Below are 20022 nucleotides of genomic sequence, written 5' to 3'. Positions count from 1 at the left end.
AAAGAAAAAAGAAAATGGCTTTGGCAGAGGGGCTGGCCCGGCAGTGCCTTCCCTTGGGTTTCTCCTGGGTAGGCCTCTGCCATGAGGAGGCGCTTCCTTCTGCCTGTTCATGGCCCACAGCAAAGGAATGTCTGCTTCTGGGGGTTGGGTGGGGGACTGCTGGCAGAACTGGAAACCTTCTTCAGGTGGGTTTTTTTTTTTTTTTTTTTGAGACGGAATCTCACTCTGTCACCCAGGCTGGAGGGCAGTGGCGCAATCTCAGCTCACTGCAACCTCCATCCCCCCTCCCCCGTCCCCCCGCGGCCCCCTCCGGGTTCAAGTGATTCCCATGTGTCAGCCTCCTGAGTAGCTGAGATTACAGGCATGTGCCACCACACCTGCCTAATTTTTGTATTTTTTGTAGAGACGGGGTTTCACCATGTTGGCCAGGCTGGTCTGGAACTCCTGACCTGAAGTGATCTGCCCACCTCGGCTTCCCAAAGTGCTGGGACTGCAGGTGTGAGCCACTGCGCCTGGCCCCTTCAGGTGGGTTTTGAGGCTTCACGTTGCTGCTGCAATAAATTACCACACACTTAGTGGCTTAAAACAGCACAGAGGTATTCCCTTACATTTCTGAAGGCCAGAATTCTAAAATCAGTCCCACTGAGTCAAGGTGGGAGCAGGGTCAGTGCCTTCCCAGGCTCTGCGGGAGAATCTGTTTCCTGGCCCTGGAGGCGGCCTGTACTCCTTAGCTTGTGCTGCCCTTCTGGAATGACTCGAGTTTCCTGCTTTCATCACTACACCTCCCACCGCTCTCCATCACCTGCTGTGCTCTTACGAGGATCCAGGTGAGTACATAAACCCTGCCGGGACAAGCTGGCCAAAGACCCTTAACTTCATTATACTTGCAAAGCCCCTTTTGCCATATAAGGTCATGTTCACCGGTTCCCGGGATTAGGATATGGGCATCTTGGGGGCATCAGCCTACTACAGCTAGGCTACAAAACTGTTACACCCTCCTGGTGTTTCAGTGATTGGGAGAAAAAGGGTTGGGATTTTTTGCTTTGGGGTCCCAGTTAAACTTGTATATGTAAGGTCTGGGGTCCCTCTTAACCTTGTGTTTTTGTTTTTTGAGACGGAGTATTGCTCTGTCATCCAGGCTGGCAGTGGCGTGGTCTCGGCCCACTGTAACATCCGCCTCCTGGGTTCAAGCAATTCTCCTGCCTCAGCTTCCCAAGTAGCTGGGACTACGGGCGCCTGCCACCACGCCTGGCTAAGTTTTGTATTTTTGGTAGAGATGGGGGTGGGACTGGGGGGTGGGGGAGGGGAGGGGGGTTTCTACCGTGTTGCCCTTAGCTCAAAGCGATCTGCCCTGCCTCTGCTCCTGAAATGCTAGGATTACAGGCCCGCACCACCACCGTAAAATCTTATTTCCACACAGCTGAGACATGTTTTAGGAAGTTTGCTAAAAGACCCCTGGAGACGTCCTCATTGTGGCCTCCCTGCTGTTGTGTTTAATTTGGTTGATCTTCTCTGCCCTCCTGCTTTTCAGAATTAAAAGGCTAAAAAGAGGTACTAAACTTTAAAACTTCTCTTATAGTCTCCCTTTAAAGTAATTCTAAGAACCACCAAAAAGGGGAAAATTTTTTTCGAAAGCAGTAAAATGATATGGTTTGTTAGGATGTAAAATATAGAAAATAAGTCATTATATGTTATTGCTGCTCTGACATAGGGATGTATTGAGAATCAACTTTTGGTCAGTTTTCAGAGAAATGGAATAATTGTATTGCTGATCTACGTAAACAAGTTGAAGAATTGTCTGAAAGAAAATATGGTGTGTCTGAACTGGAAAAGTCCTGTGATAGTTTGTTCATGAGCATTTACACAATGGAGTTACTGTTCATCATGGGGGTACTGTGGACAAGCCCAGGGCTGCTGGTGAGTCATGCCATCCTTACATGTCTCTCCTTGTAAGGTACTTTGTAGTGTCTGTCTAAATATTAGAAACATTCTTTGTTTCTAGATTGCTAGAAAGCTAAGGAAAAGTTGTATTTCTCTAATTATCAATTAGCATTTATTTTAAACATTCAGCATAGATATTTGGGATTTATTTACATATTTATTGCAAATCCCTGGATCTTAGGGGTTTAATTGAATAGATATATATATACACACATATATATACGTATATATATACACACACATATACGTATATATATATACACACACATATGTATATATATACACACACATATATACATATATATACACACATATATACGTATATATACACACATATATACGTGTATATATACACACGCATATATACGTATATATATATATATTGTTTTTTGAGATGGAGTCTCACTCTTGTCACCGAGGCTGGAGTGCAGTGGTGCGATCTCAGCTCACTGCAACCTCCGTCTGCCAGGTTCAAGCAATTCTCTGCCTCAGCCTACCAAGCAGGTGGGATTACAGGTGCCCACCACCATGCCCCACTAATTTTGTATTTTTAGGTGAGACAAGGTTTCACGATCTTGGCCAGGCTGGTCTTAAACTCTGGACCTTGTGATCCACCCACCTCGGCCTCCTAAAGTGCTGGGATTATAGGCATGAGCCAACTCGCCAGGCCATTTTTTATTTTTTTAAAGTAATTGTTTCTCTCTATCTGCTTTGTTAAATTTGTTAATTTGGCCAGGCACGGTGGCTCACGCCTGTAATCCCAGCACTGTGGGAGGCTGAGGCACGTGGATCACCTCAGATGGGAGTTCGAGACCAGCCTGACCAACATGGAGAAACCCTTTCTCTACTAAAAACACAAAATTATCTGGGCGTGGTGGCGTATGCCTGTAGTCCCAGCTACTCAGGAGGCCAAGGGAGGAGAATTGCTTGAACCTGGGAGGTGGCGGTTGTGGTGAGCCAAGATCACACCATTGCACTCTAGTCTGGGCAAAAAGAGCAAAATTCTGTCTAAAAAAAAAAAATTCGATATTCATCAAGATGCCCCTATTGTCTCTACTTTTATCTTGATGCATTACCTAGTTGACGTTAGACTTCAAATTCTTCCTTGCCCTTATACTATTCTATCCTAAAGCCACCTTTATATAATGATGAAAGAAATCAGCAATTTGTTGTTGTCATCTCTTTGATGGTATATAGCAAATGCTCACCTAAAAATAGCAACAACTAGCAAAAAACATCATGTGTTTTGCCGTTTTTATTTGAATGACTGTTTACTTTGCAATCTACTAGCAAGCTATAGAATTGTGTGATATGCAGAATTTTAACTGAAGTGCTTTAAGTGAACATTTAAACATGATAAACCGTATTAATGGTGTTTATGCTTTTTTTTTTTTTTGAAATGGAGTTTCACTCTTGTTGCCCAGGCTGGAGTGCAACGGCACGATCTTGGCTCACCGCAACCTCCGCCTCCCAGGTTCAAGCGATTCTCCTGCCTCAGCCTCCCGAGTAGCTGGAATTACAGGCATGTGCCACCACACCCGGCTAATGTTTTTGTATTTTTAGTAGAGACAGGGTTTCACCATGTTAGCCAGAATGGTCTCGATCTCCTGACTTCGTGATCCGCCCGCCTCAGCCTCCCAAAGTGCTGGGATTACAGGTGTGAGCCACCACGTCCGGCTGGTGTTTATGTTAATATACTCGAAGCGAACATTTTTTCTTCATCATGAGTAATATAACATACCCCTCAATGAAAGTCTAGAATTAGAGTAAATTTGCTAATGAATTAATAACTTTTCCATAATATTTTTAATTATGTGCTTAAGGTTCTTTCAGTGTTTCTCCTACTTTTTAATAGCTTATGCCTTTTTTTGCCTTTTTTATTGGTTCATTTTAAAGCAAAAACCTCATAACGTGCTATTTGGAAGCACTGTAACCTAGTGGTGAGATCATAGGCTCTGGGGACACAGCCTGGCCACGTCTCTTCTCCTTTCTGAGCCTTAGTATCCTCTCTTGTGTTCATGAAAACTGAATATTTATCCCGAAGATGTGATAAGATAGTAAAGTGTTTCACATAATACCGGGCATATAAATACATGGTAAATGCTTCCTTTTTAACGATTTATTGGTTGGTTGGTTGATTGATTGAGACAGAATCTCACTCTGTCACCCAGGCTGGAGTGCAGTGGCACTATCTCAGCTCGCTACAACCTCTGCCTCCCTGGTTCAAGAAATTCTGCTGCCTCAGCCTCCCAAGTAGCTGGGATTACAGGTGTGCATCACCATGCCCAGCTAATACCAGCTAATTTTTGTATTTTTGGTAGAGACAGAGTTTTGCCATGTAGGCCAGGCTGGCCTTGAACTCCTGACCTCAGGTGATCCACCTGCCTCCCAAAGTGGGATTACAGGCATGAGCCACCACACCTGGCCCATGTTTTTTTTTTTTTTTTTTTTGGGAAGATTTTTAAATTTCATGAATAATGGTAATGATTTTTTTTTTAATTATTTAAGTTTTAGGGTACTATGTTTTTATTATATTGTTAATTTAGTACTATTCTGAGTAAAAATAATTTGCTATTACAGTTTTATAAATTGACAATTTTATAAATGTCAATGCTTTTTATAAGGTGAAACATTAATGTTGTGGGGCTTTTGTTGTGATGGTGATTTATTAGATTATTTTGTTTAAAGACAACGTTCAGCTGTTGTGAAATTACAAAAATAATCTTCACATTTCATAATTTTAAAGCAATATTAATGGTAATTACCTTAGAGAAAGATAGTTTTGTTGTGATATATAGGTATGATACTGAAGTTTAATGTACAGCAAAGGATATTAAACCTAAGTCAGCACTAATGTGTTATATGGTACACTTGAAACTTTAGTACAGATATCAATGTTTAGCAAATAGACATTAACACATAATGATAGCAAAAAAATGGAGCTGTTCTGATGGGAGACCGTTGATTATGTTAGATTTTAATACTTCCCATGCTCTTGACTTTTTTTTTTTCTTTGAGAGAGAGTCTTGCTCTGTCACCCAGGCTGGAGTGCAGTGGCACCATCTCAGCTCACTGCAGCCTCCACCTCTCAGGTTCAAGCGATCCTCTCGACTCAGCCTCCCTAGTAGCTGGAACTACAGGCGAGTGCCACCTCGCCCGGCTGATTTTTGTATTTTTAGTTAGATACGGGGTTTCACCATGTTGGCCAGGCTGGTCTCGAACTCCTGACCTCAGGTGATCAACCTGCCTCGGCCTCTCAAAGTGCTGGGGTTACAGGCATGAGCCACCACACCTGGTCAGCTCTTGACTCTTTATAGCTGTTGTATTATTTTAATCTTGAGTAAATAAATGCTCGCTGAAATGTTGCAGTTCACGAGAATCTTCTTCTGTTATTTAAAAAATTATTTGTAAAAGTCCAATTAGGTTACACTAATGTTTATGTTTTGAAAATATTACCTCTTCCGTTTAGTACTAAATATATTAAATAAAATTAGACGGTGATTTTTTTTGGCTTTGTAATGTGGTTCAGATTTTTGTAGAAAGTCTGGCTGTGTCTACATTGCCTTAAAGCAATGGGATATTTCTCTTTTTTTTTTTTTTTGAGCTAGAGTTTCGCTCTTGTTGCCCATGGTGGAGTGCAGTGGTGTGATCTCGGCTCACTGAACATCTGCCTACCAGGTTCAAGCAATTCTCCTAGCTCAGCCTCCTGAGTAGCTGGGATTACAGGCACACACCACCACGCCTGCCTAACTTTTGTATTTTTAGTGGAGTTGGGGTTTCACCATGTTGGCCAGGCGGGTCTCGAACTCCTGACCTCAGGTGATCCTCCCGCTTCAGCCTCCCAAAGTGCTGGGATTACAGGCATGAACCACCTCGCCCCGCCAGGAATGTTTTTTAAGAAGGCTGTCTACTTACGGAATTCCTGGCCTTGAGAGGATATTACTTGCAAAGGAAAGGATTTGTTTTGTGTTTAAAAAGTAAGACTCTTGGATTCTTGTTGGACTCTTATCTCTGTTCTGAGTAATATATCTTTGTTATTGTTGACAAATATTCATTCACCATTAGGGTTATATTTAATTAAGTTTGAGTTATTTTATTTTGTTGTTGTTGTTGTTGTTGTTGTTGTTGTTTTGAGAAGGAGTCTTGCTCTGTCGCCCAGGCTGGAGGGCAGTGGCGTGATCTCAGCTCACTGCAATCTCCACCTCCCGGCTTTAAGCAATTCTTTAAACCTCCCGAGTAGCTGGGAATACGGGCACCCACCAACATGCCCCGTTGATTTTTGCATTTTTAGTAGAGACGGAGTTTTACCATTATTGGCCAGGCTGGTCTTGAACTCCTGAGTTTGTGATCCGCCCGCCTCGGACTCCCAAAGTGCTGGTATTACAGACTTGAGCCACTGCATCTGGCCTATTATATGTATTTTTATGTATCACTTTTTAATTTATCTGGGTCCAACATTGAGTCAGTCATGCTAGTGTTACCTTTTGAAACATGAACACTGCCCGCACCTGACTGGCATGCAACTGATATTTTCTTTCACAATTTTCTGCTACTTTTGCTAAAAATAATAATTTCCATGTCTTGCTTTTAGGCCTGAGATTTTTATAGCATATGTGGGAATATATGATTGTTTCTCTAGATGTGTAGAGGAAGATAGTCTTGAATGCAATGTGAGACTAAAGGATCCCATTTAAGATTTTTGTAATATGCTTCAAAGACCTGTGGGCTGCAAAGTTACCACTTTACTTGTGAGGACACATGCTCCGTGAAGCATGTTATGAGACAATTTGCAATTATCATTTTGTTTTTGTTACTCTGTAGAAACCCCAAATGAAGATTTAGTTGTGCTCAAGCATCCAGATTGTCTTTTCTTAATTTTTTTTCTTTTCCCAAGATGGAATCTTGCTCTGTCACCGAGGATGCAAGTGCAGTGGCATGGTCTTGACGCACTGCAACCTCTGTCTCCCGGGTTCAGGCAATTCTCCTGCCTGAGCCTCCCAGGTAGTTTGGATTACAGGCACCTGCCACCATGGCCGGCTAAGTTTTGTATTTTTAGTAGAGGTGGAGTTTCACCATGTTGGCCAGGCTGGTCTCGAACTCCTGACCTTGTGATCTGCCAGCCTCTGCCTTCCAAAGTGCTGGGATTACAGGTGTGAGCCACTGTGCCCAGCATGTCTTTTCTTTTCAAAACCACCCTTGGTAATTAAATGTTAAATGTGTACTAGTGGATATTACTTTGCTGAATATTGCTTATGAATATTATTTATTTTCACCTTTCAGACATAATCTTATGAATTCAACACATGAAGATTTACAACTTGATAAACCAGCTTCAGGAGGTAGGTGGCACACCCCAATCAGTCACTTGTGCATCCAGAAGGGAGGGAACGTGTTTCAAATATGAGTAAAGGCAGGGAGGTGTCAAGTATGCTCACATGTTCACATACCTGACCTATTCTGTGTGGAGTGAGGAGTGCCATGTGGGCATTGTAGGATTGCATAGATAGACTTGGGTGGCCAAGTGGAGGAAGGCCTTAGATCCTACAAAAGCAGTGGCAGTCATTAAATGGTCTCATAGCACTTCTCTCTTAAAATAATGTGGATCTGTCCTTTAGAAAGATTATTCTGGGTTGATTTTGAAGAATAACACAGTGGGTAGTTTGAGTGTAGGCGGTAGGAACAGAAGGCCTTTCTCTACTCATGGAAGGAATGTTGAAGTGGGCAGAGTCTTGTTTACTGATTGGGGTTGTGTATCTGTGTATATTTGTTGGGGCTCAGTTATAAGGGAGAAGAAAGGTTTAAGATGATGCAAGCTGCTTCTGGCTGTGCTGTGGGACAGTTCATCCAAGATTCAGAAACAGAATTGAGCTGGTTTGGGGGAAAAGTGACTTTTGCATATTTATCTTATAAAAAAGATGACTTTGGAGATACCCAGGTGGTCTCACCTGAATGTCTGAAAATTGCTATTTTCAAAATTCAAGTCACCAGAATGAGTTTTTTCACTATAAAATGAAGGCAGAGTGGACCATTTAAAAATTTGGCTGGGCACAGTGACTCATGCTTGTAATCCCAGCACTCTGGGAGGCTGAGGCAGGTAGATCACCTGAGGTCAGGAGTTCGAGACCAGCCTGGCCAACATGGCAAAACCCTGTGTCAACTAAAAATACAAAAATTAGCTGGTTGTGCTGGGGCACACTTGTGGTCCCAGCTACTCGGGAGGCTGAGGCAGGAGAATTGCTTGAACCTGGGAGACAGAGGTTGCAGGGAGTCGAGATCATGCCATTGCACTCCAGCCTGGGTGACAGAATGAGACTCCGTCTCAATAATAATAATAATAATAATAATAATAATAATAATAATTAGTGCACAGCTGTGTGAGAAAGGCCTATAAATTTCTTCTAAGTGCTTTATTATAATACTAATATCAACTATGTTTTTACAGATCAGAACTTCTTACAATACAACTGATGTTACTCAGCCTAGAACAAATACAACAGGTAACATAGCTGTGAAATCCTTTTTAAAAGCACAGATTAATCTTCAAGCTTTTAAAAATTAATCTTTTAATTTGATGGAACTGCTCCTTCACCTCCCCGAAAAATATTTTGCTGAAGCTCAATACAGGCACTCCTTGATTTATTGATATGAACATATGCAGTGTAGGGAATCACTCAAGCTTTTTTTTTTTCTTTCTTCCCCTTTTTGATACAGAGTCTCACTCTGTCATCCAGGCTGGAGTGCAGTGGTGCAATCTTGGCTAACTGCCACCAGGCTTAAGCAATTCTCCTGCCTCGGCCTCAGCTTTCTGAGTAGCTGGGATTACAGGCGTGCGCCACCATGCCTGGCCAAATTTTGTATTTTGTGTAGAGACAAGGTTTCACCATTTTGGCCAGGCTGGTCTCAAACTCCTTCGCTCAGGTGATCCTTCTGCCCGAGCCTCCCAAAGTGCTGGATTACAGGTGTGAGTCACCACACCCGGCATTAATGTACTCTGAGGATGCTGACTTCCAGATAGCCATTTTTGGGTCAAGGAAAGTTCAAGTCTCCTGAGTATAGTAGCCATACGTCCTAGAGAGCTTCCTTTTGGTTTGGTTACAAAATGTATCTTAGCTTAATTTTCTTACATTCGGTCGGCAAAATAAGAAAGAGCAGAAGGCTGGGCACGGAGGCTCACGCCTATAATCCCAGCACTTTGGGTGGCTGAGGCGGGCAGATCACCTGAGGTCAGGAGTTTGAGACCAGCCTGGCCAATACGGTGAAACCCCATCTCTATTAAAAATACAAAAATCAGCTGGGTGTGATGGTGTGTACCTGTAATCCCAACTACTTGGGAGGCTGAGGCATGAGAATTGCTTGAACCCAGGAGGCGGAGGTTGCAGTGAGCCGAGATTGCACCACTACACTCTAGCCTGGGGGATAGAGCAAGACTGTGTCTCCAAAAAAAAAAAAAAAAAAAAAGGGGCAGAAAAGTTTAGGGACACCCAATAAAACTAGAATTGGAAACGGAATTACTCTGTAGATGATTTCTTTTCAAGATGGGCTAGTGGAGTTTTTGAGCAGCAGCTACATTCTCCTTTCACATCTTCAGGTTTCATAAGGTTACCTTTAGCCCTCTGAGTGATCAGATCTGCCTCACAGTCACTCACGAGAGCCCTTGATCTCGACAAAATGGACATTGAGTAGCTGAGTTCAAATAACTGAGGTGGCAAGAGGGGATCTCCTTCTTGGTTCTTATATATTTTTTTTAAATGAAAGAGCTAGAGAAGCAATCTCAAGGTCAAGATAACTCACCCTGATGTTCTAACTTTTCAGGGATTGTGCTGCATTCTGACTTAGGTTCTGCCATCGAACACAGAATGCCCTGATCCTTAGAGGCAGAGGCAGCTCTTCAGCCTATGGGGTAAGTAACCAGGGAATGGAATTCTCACCAATTCTTATTTTCTATGCTAAAAGTTTTACTTTACAATTTGGGCCTGCTTCTTTTTTTTTTTTTTTTTTTTTGAAATGGAGTTTCACTCTTGTTGCCCAGGCTGGAGTGCAGTGGCACTGTCTTGGCTCACTGCAACCTCCGCCTACCAGGTTCAAATGATTCTCCTGATTCAGCTTCCCAAATAGCTGAGATTATAGGCATGCACCACCACATCTGGCTAATTTTTTAAAATTTTTAGTAGAGATGGGGTTTCACTATGTTGGACAAGCTGGTCTTTAACTCCTGACCTTGGGTGAGCCACCCGCCTTGGTCTCCCAAAGTGCTGGGATTACAGGTGTGAGCCACTGGGCCTGGGCCTGCTTCTTTCTTTCTCTCTCTCTCTTTTTTTTTTCAGTAGCAGTTTAAAATTGGTGCCTCATTTAGACACAAGCAAAAGGATATTAGCTCAGCTTTGGAAATAGGTGTGAGCCCACATATGATTTTCCTAGTTTTTCCTCTTCCTTCACTTTTTGCTCTCTTGGTAGTATGTTAATTCTATTCTCTCTCTGAATCTTTTTTCTTCATTTCTTTGGCAGATATTTTTACTTGTCTCGGAAGAGTAGGAGAAGAACTGCTTTTAGGACTCTTTGAAAGGTTACAATATGGATGACAATCTTGGCTAATGGTGACCAGATCTAGGGAGCTGGGATCAGCGTGAGCTGGAATCAGTTCAAATTAGCAAAGCAGTAGCGCTCAGTGGCAGGAATACAGGTGTCCTCAAAGTGTTAAACACATCTTGAAAGGGATAGTGACATCATTCTCAGAATCTGTTGGGAATGCACATAGCCTGTAGACCCATTCGTCTTTGACCCTGTAAAGATATTTTAAAGAGTAATACCCTGAGTGGTTTTCTGTCCAGTTTGCCTGCTCATTTATCTTTGAGGACATGCCTTGTGGAGCTCCGCAGGCCCCAGGGGTGTGTGGATTCTACATTTGAAAGTGCTGATGCTGAGAGACTGGGTCTTGGCGGACCCCAAGGAGTCTGCTTTTCCTCTACTTATTGTCCCTACTTTTCCTGGCAGCTGGCATTGCTGTTTAAATGGGTTGTTCTTTGCTGTTTAAGTTGTTTGGTAGTGGTGTGTCAGGATGTGGGTTTTCTGAATACTTTCCCAGCTGGTTACTTGAGTGGTGGTTAGGGAGGAGCTGTCTTGGGGCTGTTCTGGAGCTGTTAAGGTCGGGTGTCTGTCTGGATACTCACAGCTTATCTGTTGAGGAGAACGCTGTTCTCATTGTGCTGCCTTTGGTGGTGCTGTGTGTGGCTCTTTAGATGTGGGTGGAGATGAGTTGGGTGAGTTACTGAGATCTTTTTTAGGTGCTTTTGATAAAGTAGTCTGCACTACAGGATTGATTGTGACTTTTTCCCTTAACCTGCACATACTTCTCTGCTTGTCCTTGCTGTCTTTCTCATGCCTTTGATTTTCCCATCTCCTGTTGGTTGAATTTACATAAAAGCTCTGCTGTAGTTTAAATGTGTCCTCCAAAGTTTATGTGCTGGAAACTCAATCTTCAACAGTTGGGATGTGGGGCCTAATAAGAGAGCCCTCATGAATGAATTAATGTTATTTTGGTAATAGATTAGTAATCACAAGAGTGGGCTTATTGTAAAAGAGAGTTCAGCCCCTGTTGCCCTCTTGCTTTCTCGCACTCTCTTGTCCTTCTGCCTTCTGCCATGGGATAATCTTCTTCTGTCATGGAATGATATTCCCTCATATTCAGAAAAGGGAGTCTCCCATTAGGAGTAAAGTCATGAGAAGAAATGGGCATTTTCATAATTGTGGTGTTTTCTTTACAGCAGTGGTTCTCAAAGGTAGTTCCTGGCAGTATCACCTGGAAACTTGTTAAATTCAAATTCTCAGGCCCTATCCCAGGCCAACTGAATCAGAAACTCTGGGGTGGGACCCAGTACTCTGTGTTTTAACTAGTCTTCCAAGTGATATTGATGTGCATTCAAGTCTGAGAACTACTGCTTGTCAAGTTAGTTGTTTGCTAATTTTTTACTCCCACCTTCACTGGACCCTGGAGAGTGTGTAAGGGACAAAAGTGAGAGAACACTGTCTCTGCAGGTACTTTGTCAGTCTTCTGTTGAATCATTTGAGAAACCTAGAAAACATCTGTTGAGCACCTTCTCAGTTCCTGGCACTGTGCTAAGTGGCTAAGAGCATGGGGTGGACATGTAAGCAGGTAATTGTAATAGGACATGAGTATTATAATGGCTAAAGGTATTTTATATATATATATATGTATATATGTATATATATGTATATGTATATATATACATATATATGTATATATATACATATATATGTATATATATGTATATGTATATATATATACATATATATGTATATATATACATATATATATGTATGTGTATATATATATATATTTATAAAAAGCTACAGGAACTGGAGAGAAAATTATCCTGTCAGTGGGGAAGATGGAGTCAGATGTCACTTGATCCTTGAACAGGGTAGGATTCGAAGATGAACAGACAGAAGGGTATTCTAATTGGGTTCATACATAGGATGATCATGCAATTTATTATCCAAAGTAGGTCACTTTTGAGAATCAAAGTGGGTGCTTTTAGGCCAGGACTGTTGCTTGCTAACGGGGGTGTATGATTGCCCTATTTGTAAAGAACGAGTGATGCTGTGAAGCCATAGTTCGATGTAAATTTGTGGAAAACTCATTTCTTCTAATTATTTGTAGAGTTTTCAACAATTCTTATTGGATGGCATATTTTTTCCCCAGGGCTGCTGTAAAATATTACAGGCATGCTTTGAAGATATTACAGGTTTGGTTCCGCACCACTGCAGTAAAGTGAGTCACACACATTTTTGTGTTACCCAGTGGATATAAAAGTTGTATTTTGGGCCAGGCTCCCTCTGCATCTCTGTGTTTCAGTTGGGGTAGGGTAATTTTCTGTTCAGTTTGAAGAGCTCCCCCTGGTATTTCTTCCCGTGGATGTCTTCCCATAACAATGTTTTTTTCTCATCTGAAAATGTCTATTTTGCCATCTTTTTTTTTTTTTTTTTTTTTTGAGATGGAGTCTCCCACTGTTGCCTGGGCTGGTACGCAGTGGTGCAATCTCGGCTTGCTGCAACCTCCACCTCCTGGGTTCAAGCGATTCTCCTGCCTTAGCCTCCCGAGTAGCTGGGACTACAAGCGCGTGCCACCACACCCATCTAACTTTTGTCTTTTTAGTAGTGTTGGGGTTTCACTTTGTTGTCCAGGTTGGTCTTGAACTCCTGACCTCATTTCCACTCGCTTCTGCCTCCCAAAGTGCTGGGATTGCAGGTGTGAGCCACTGCGCTGGCTATGTTTTTTTTTTGTTTGTTTGTTTTTGAGATGGAGTCTCACTCTGTCTCCCAGGCTGGAGTGCAGTGCCATGATCTCAGCTCACTGCAACCTCCGCCTCCTGGGTTCAAGCGATTCTCCTGCCTCAGCCTCGCATGTAGCTGGGATTACATGCGCACGCCACCATGCCCGGCTAATTTTTTGTATTTTTAGTAGAGACAGGGTTTCACCATGTTAGCCAGGATGGTCTCAATCTCCTGACCTCGTGATCTGTTCACCTGGGGCTCCCAAAGTGATGGAATTACAGGCAGGAGCCACTGTGCCAGACCTTTGCCATCAGTTTTTAAAGGAAACAGCTACTTAGCACTGGATGCTAGGTGAGCAGGTTTTTTCTTTCAGCTTTTTTTTTTTTTAAAGCCATCATACTTTAGAATCTTTCAGCACTGTCAAATTATCTTCTGGCTTTTATTATTTATGTTGAGAATTTAGACTGGGCGTGGTGGCTTACACCTGTAATCCCAGCAGTTTGGAAGGCCGTGGTGGGTGGATCACATGAACCCAGGAGTTGGAGACCAGACTGACCAACAGAGTGAGGCCCTGTAGCAACATGTGGTAGCCCTTTTTCAGTACATTGGCCTGATCCAGGTCAGTTGGATGTCATTTACATATGTGTCTTATATTTTAGATACAAGAGGCTTCTTAAAAGCTTAGAGCATAACACAAATATTTATTTGCACCATCTAACAAATCTAAATAAATACATTTCATGTCTAGGCATTGCGTTTTCTATTTCTCTAAACCAGTGTGCGCATGTGTGTGTACGTGTGTATCACTTTACCCAGCCACAGCAAGTGATTATGGATGAAATGGCTGCAGCAAAGCTAAAACTATGATATGCCTTTGAGAAAAAAATATTGAGCTGAGGCCGCCGCTGTCTTCTTCCTGCCCTTGCCTTGGTGGGCGGCGGTTTCCCACGCCGTGGCTGGCTTGGCAGGCCGGGGCACCATGCCGGGCTTCATGCAGCCGGGCTGCGTGGCTGCGCAGAGCAGGTGCCTCTGGGTGTCTGGTCGGGGGCCTGGCAGGAGCGGGCCGGGGATGGCCGCGGCAGGCGGCGGGTCCGCCGTGGAGCCCCGGGGAGGCGGCCGCCACGATTGCTTCCCGCAGTCTGCGAGGTGTCTGGCCGCTGGCTCAGGGCCCCTTTTGCAGACTCGGTGCCTGGCATGCGCCGGTGCTGCCTGCTGGGTCTTGGCACCACTGGCGCAGCCACGGCGGCGGGGGCCTGGCTCCAGATCCCCGACCCCTGCGAGCGCCGGCCCTGCGTGCCTGCTATGTTGGTGCCATCTCTTTTGCATATTTGTGCTTGCCTGTCACACTCCCTGGCCTCTGAGTGTCCTTTGGCAGTTTCCAAAGCATTTGGGCAAGACGGAGGTTGGGGAGCTTCACAACAGGTGGGGGCGCGCAGGGGAGGGTCCGCGGCCGGACCAGCAGAGTGCTTCAAGGGCTGCCGTGCTGACGGACCTTCCACACTGTCTTTCGGAACTGGGGTTAGGGGACAGCCCTTGGCCACCACTGTGCCCTTACTCTGTCGCTTTACTTGGGGCTGGACCTCCCCTTTCCAGCTCTGGCGTGTGACTCTGCACTGAGCGTGGTGTTGAGACCACCACCAGCTGGGGCCGTGGGAGGAAGGGTGCCCCAGGCTTGGGGAAGGTGGGGACCTATTCCCCGCTCCCCAAGTGATTGTTGCGTGCTCTGGTGAGGGGACAGTGGTACCTCGATTTCCCATGTGCCAGCTTCGGGACTCAGCTGTGCTTTTGTGTCTCTTTGATTAGCAAAAGCAAAATGAATTCCTCCCTGAACACTAAGCTTCCTGGATACTTCCCTAGACCTAAACCTGAGAACCGCATATAAACAGGCCTTGAGGGTTCTGTTGTCAGTAGCGGGTTACCTGATTGCAAACTGAGCAAGTTTAAAACGGAGTGGGCTGCTTTGGGCTGCACAGCCGTCTGGCATTCAGACAGCTGAGCAGGAGGCAGAGGTGAGAGACCAAGATGGACTAAAAATGCTCTAGCTGCTGGGAGCTCATCTCGGCCCAGCCTCTTTGAAAGGAGGAACATTCGGTGCAGCCATTGGAACCTTATCCTTTATAAAATGGGACAGCTCACAGGATTACATTTCTAAGCCAATCCTGTGACCATCCTCCATGAAATTCTCTATTTTGGTTACATGTGGTCAAACTGAGCCTCACTGAAACAATTGAAAACAAATACTCTCGACAAATCTTAAAAATCGTTTTGAAAATCAAAAGGTATAGAAAATGTTGTGTCTTCTTTCTAAACTTTCTTCAGCCCAAATTCTGTTATTCTCTGATCTTTTATGGTGTAAAATCATACCCATTCCATTATATGTTGATTGTCAAGAAGGAAGTAGGCTTTTATTGCTATGTTTATGTCAGTTTCCATTTACTGTCTCACCACATTTATTGGGTTATTGCCTTTGCCTTTGACTCAACAGGAGCTGGAAGGGAAAGAATCCCAAATTCTGTTTCTTAAGGCAGCCAGTTGTCAGAATGGACTTTCCTCATTTTCTATTGTGAGGCCTGAAGAAAGACATTCAGTTCCAAAGGCTGTGCCTATCCTTTTAAATAAAAGAGAGAGGGCCCGGCACGGTGGCTCATGCCTGTAATCTCAGCACTTTAGGAGGCCGAAGCGGGCGAATCACGAGGTCAGGAGTTCGAGACCAGCCTGGCCAACATAGTGAAACCCCGTCTCTACTAAAAATACAAAAAATTAGCCAGGCGTAATGGCGGGCGCCTGTATTCCCAGCTGCTTGGGAGGCTGAGGCAGGAGAATCGCTTGAACCCGGGAGGCGGAAGTTGCAGTGAACTGAGATCACGTCACTGGACTCCAGCCTGGGGGACAGAGTGAGACTTCGTCTCAAAAAAAAAAAAAAGAAGAAGAAGAAGCCGTGCCAAGGATAGGTACTGACTGAAGCAGGAGGAACAAATTGGAAATGTGGGAATGCGAATGTGGGCAAGTTGAGGGACTTGTAGCTTCTCTTCGGTTGAATCTTTTTGCTGAAGCTGCTTTATTGTATCTGACATGTGAAACAGCACAATTTCAAACAAACCCATATTGAAGTCAACATACAAAAAAGCGTTTAAAAAACAGCCATTAGTGGCCGGGCGTGATGGCTCACGCCTGTAATCCCAGCACTTTGGGAGGCCAAGGCGGGCGGATCACGAGGTCAGGAGATCGAGACCATCCTGGCTAACATGGTGAAACCCCGTCTCTACTAAAAATACAAAAAATTAGCCAGGCGTGGTGGCGGGTGCCTATAGTCCCAGCTACTCGGAAGGCTGAGTCAGGAGAATGGCGTGAACCCGGGAAGCGGAGGTTGTAGTGAGCTGAAACCACGCCACTGCACTCCAACCTGGGCGACAGAGTGAGACTCCATCTCAAAAAAAAAACCATTAGTAAAAATAATTTTTTCAATTAACGCTATTTTTCCCTTGGTGTTGATAATCAGATAATCAAATAGCTTATTGCATATGGAAAGTTGTTTTCTTTGAGTTAATTCAACCTATTGCAACTTAGAATCCAGGAAAATATTATTTTCAAATATGTATTTGGAATCTTCAAAATATTAGATTACAAATTACCTTAAAATAAGAAATATTTATGCAGCATAGAAAAGTCAGCAGTTCTCTGAGGAAGGTAAATAGCAGTTAAAATATCATAATGCACTTTATATCAGTTGTAAAAAGAAAGATCCAGGCTTAGATTTATGGTATTACCATTAGAAATACAATATGAGTATTTAAGAAACATAGCAACCCTAGCCATTAAGTAGGCATCAAATAACATTCTGAATTAAGTTATAAGATAAAACCAAGATTTGGATGACAATGGCAATATTGTCCATCATTGTTATCCAATTCCTGGTTTTATCTTATAACTGGTTTTAGGGGCCATTCTAGTGAATTGTCCCTAAAAGATGTTTGAAAGTAGTTCCATGCACTTTTCCTGAATTAATTTAAATAATTGATTTCACAAACAATCAGATGGTATGCTGTAACATGTCATTGCACTAGAAAGAAAAAAAAACTCCACTAGTGGGGAATAATTTCAATAGAGGAAAGTAATGAATGTTGGATGTGAGTTCAGAAACCAGAGGTTGATAAAGTCTTACGATTGCTATATGCACTGTGGGTCTACTGTATTTGGAAAATTGCAAAACAAAATATTTTTTAAAGAACAAAAATCTGGTGAGTAGCATACACAGCTTTCAAAAATAAATTGCATAACTTCATATTTCAGTAATTAAAGATTTAACAATTGTGATTTTGTGGCTAAACAAAATATACTGAACACATTATGTATAAACGATGGATTCAAAGCTCCAGAAAATTATCTTAATGAGGCGTATAAACTCTTTTTGTTTAATGTCCACACCAAATCATTATGGTCTGCCATTTCATGAAATAACAAGAGTTTTAAAATAAGTGATGTTTTTTAGTTTGTGTATCTATATTCTTTCCTACCAGATATAGCACAGTGTAGTACAAGGGCCTACAGTTATAAGCCTTGGGAAAGATACTGTTTTGGCCACATATTTCAGCTATGTGACCCTGGAAAGAGGGTCTCAGAGGGACACTGTGGCCCTCAGTGTCTTTTCATTGGTAAATGGGGGCAACATCACTTTTATAATGACAGCTGAAAAAAATACAATTTTCCTTTTATTCTCCCTTCCTTTCATTTAGGCTGTAGTTTTCACTTTTTAACTACAAAGCAATTTATCTCTTGATAACACTTCTAGTGTATTGTCCCTAAAATATTTTTGAAAGTAGTTCTATACACTTTTCCTGAGTAATGAAAACATCACATATTTGCTAACTTGAAAGAATCCCGAGTCAGGAGATGGCCTGGATTCTCTTTGACCCTTCAACTGAAGTCTTTGACCAAAGGAGCACGGGTGACCCCTCTCTCCTTCATTTTCTGACCTGTAGAGTATTGGACTCAATGACCGATCCTCTCTTCTAGCTCCAAAATACTGGGCTAAACTCCATGGAACTCCCTTCTGAGTTAAAAATAGTAGACAGGCCTGCACTATCAACATTTGTAGAAAATTACGAAATGCTTAGAGTCACTTTGTAATTTAGTCTAAGGTTTGAATGCATAAGAGTTCAAATGCAATAATTGTGTTGGTAACACAACAAAGACATGTATGTTTTTATGTACCTTTATGTTCTATGCATTAGTCCTTCATTCCTTGGCATGAGGAGAAGTGATGGTTTCTCAGTGACCTTCCAGAACTCTAAGGCTGTGTTTCTCACACCAGGCCTCAGGGTTTCTACATTTTGGACAAATTTCCAATATTGTACCCATGCACACCTGAGTCTAAGAACTCTGCTGTAAGGTGACATTAAACAGCACCTGAAGTTATATTTGAGATGATTACTCAGTAATCATTGTACAGTTGATTTTCGTAGTAGGGATTCAAACACTGAATAGGGCACAGTTTTAATTAAATCTGTATTTCTCAGTTGAAACTTTATTTTAGCAGTACATGACTTCTATTTCATGAATCATAAATGTCATGTGTCTTCACAAACTGTAGTTCTGAATTTAATTTATTCACCATTTTGTCGTCAAAAAGAAGAGTTGATGTTTTTGAAAGATGTAAACAGCTCTGCACCTGATGTTCTAAAGAAATAAAATATACCGCTGAACGCCCCCCCCAAAAAAAAAAAACTGAGCTGAGTGCATTGGCTCATGCCTGTAATCCCAGCACTTTGGGTGGCCAAGGTGGGAGGATTGCTTAAGGCCAGGAGTTCAAGATCAGCCTGGGCAATATAGCGAGATCCTGTCTCTACAAAAAAGAACAACAAAAAAATTTAGCCAGAGATGCTGGTGCACACCTGTAGTCCCAGCTACTTGGGAAGCTGAAGTGGGGAGGATCACTTGAGCCTGGGCGGTCATGGCTACAGTGAGCTGTGATCATGCCACTGCACTCTCGCCTGGATTATAGAGCAAGACCCTATGTCAAAAAAAAAAAAAAAAGGAAAAAAAAAGTAAAGAAATGCCTTTAACAGAGACCACCTCAGGTATTGCAGGTTGCTGTTACTTTAGTGGAGTTAAGAGAAATAATTTTTGGTCAGTGACTTATTGAATAAATTGACCATTTGTGCTGCTTCCCTGGGCGAGGGCATAGAGAATGGTACAAAGTAGGCTACGGTAGCCAGATAATCTTGTATGTAATTTTGAGCTATTAGTCTGGAGAATGGCATAAATAAATATCTGTAAAGGTGGCTAACCTTAGGGAAAAGCACGTTAAATGATTTTTTTTTGTTTGCCTGTCAGATTGACAAAAATTAAAGTTCGACAATGCTATGCTTATGAGGTTATGGGAGACCAGATTCTCTCGTACACTGTAGGTGGGAATGTAAAGAGTATAGCCTTTTTGTCAGACCAGTTTGGTATATGTCAGAATTTTAAATGCACATACCCTTTGGCATTCCGTTTCTGTTTCTAGCAAACTGCTCACATTTTGCGGTCTGCTCAAGGTCATGGCCTGCTCATAACCTTGTCCTGCTTGGCTATCAAAGGTTTATAAATTTTGTTAGTACTATTTCTGAATTTAATAAAATACCTCATTGTCCTGTTTACTTCAGATTTTTTTTCTAGTCCCTTATTTGCTTTTATGTTTTGGCTACAGATAGCCTATTAAGAACTAGCTAGATGTTTCAGTTTATGTATTTTAAGTTTTGTTTCCGTTTTGACTTCCCTGCAGTTTGTAACCTTAGATAACCCTCACCT

The 20022-nt window shown here is 42.7% G+C and overlaps 1 long non-coding RNA gene and 1 pseudogene across 2 annotated transcripts; both read left to right on the top strand.

The window, feature by feature from the left end:
* The first annotated feature begins 449 nt into the window (after window positions 1-449).
* Window positions 450-12905, top strand: LOC124901674 (uncharacterized). 2 transcript variants are annotated; one of them, XR_007060385.1, is made up of 7 exons: window positions 450-827; window positions 1421-1551; window positions 1741-1917; window positions 7222-7280; window positions 8384-8438; window positions 9754-9841; window positions 12662-12905. It is a non-coding gene; the product is annotated as an uncharacterized LOC124901674 (long non-coding RNA). The 2 variants fall into 2 exon arrangements; XR_007060386.1 differs by lacking the exon at window positions 12662-12905 and adding an exon at window positions 10447-10609.
* Window positions 12906-14212: 1307 nt separating this feature from the next.
* LOC100996476 (uncharacterized) lies at window positions 14213-15036 on the top strand (annotated as a pseudogene).
* Window positions 15037-20022: the final 4986 nt, after the last annotated feature.

The sequence above is a fragment of the Homo sapiens genome, chromosome 7 (assembly GCF_000001405.40).
Source record: "Homo sapiens chromosome 7, GRCh38.p14 Primary Assembly".
Classification (NCBI taxonomy): domain Eukaryota; kingdom Metazoa; phylum Chordata; class Mammalia; order Primates; family Hominidae; genus Homo; species Homo sapiens.
Note: the sequence above shows the minus strand (reverse complement) of the source record. Positions and strands in the feature narration are given on the sequence as shown.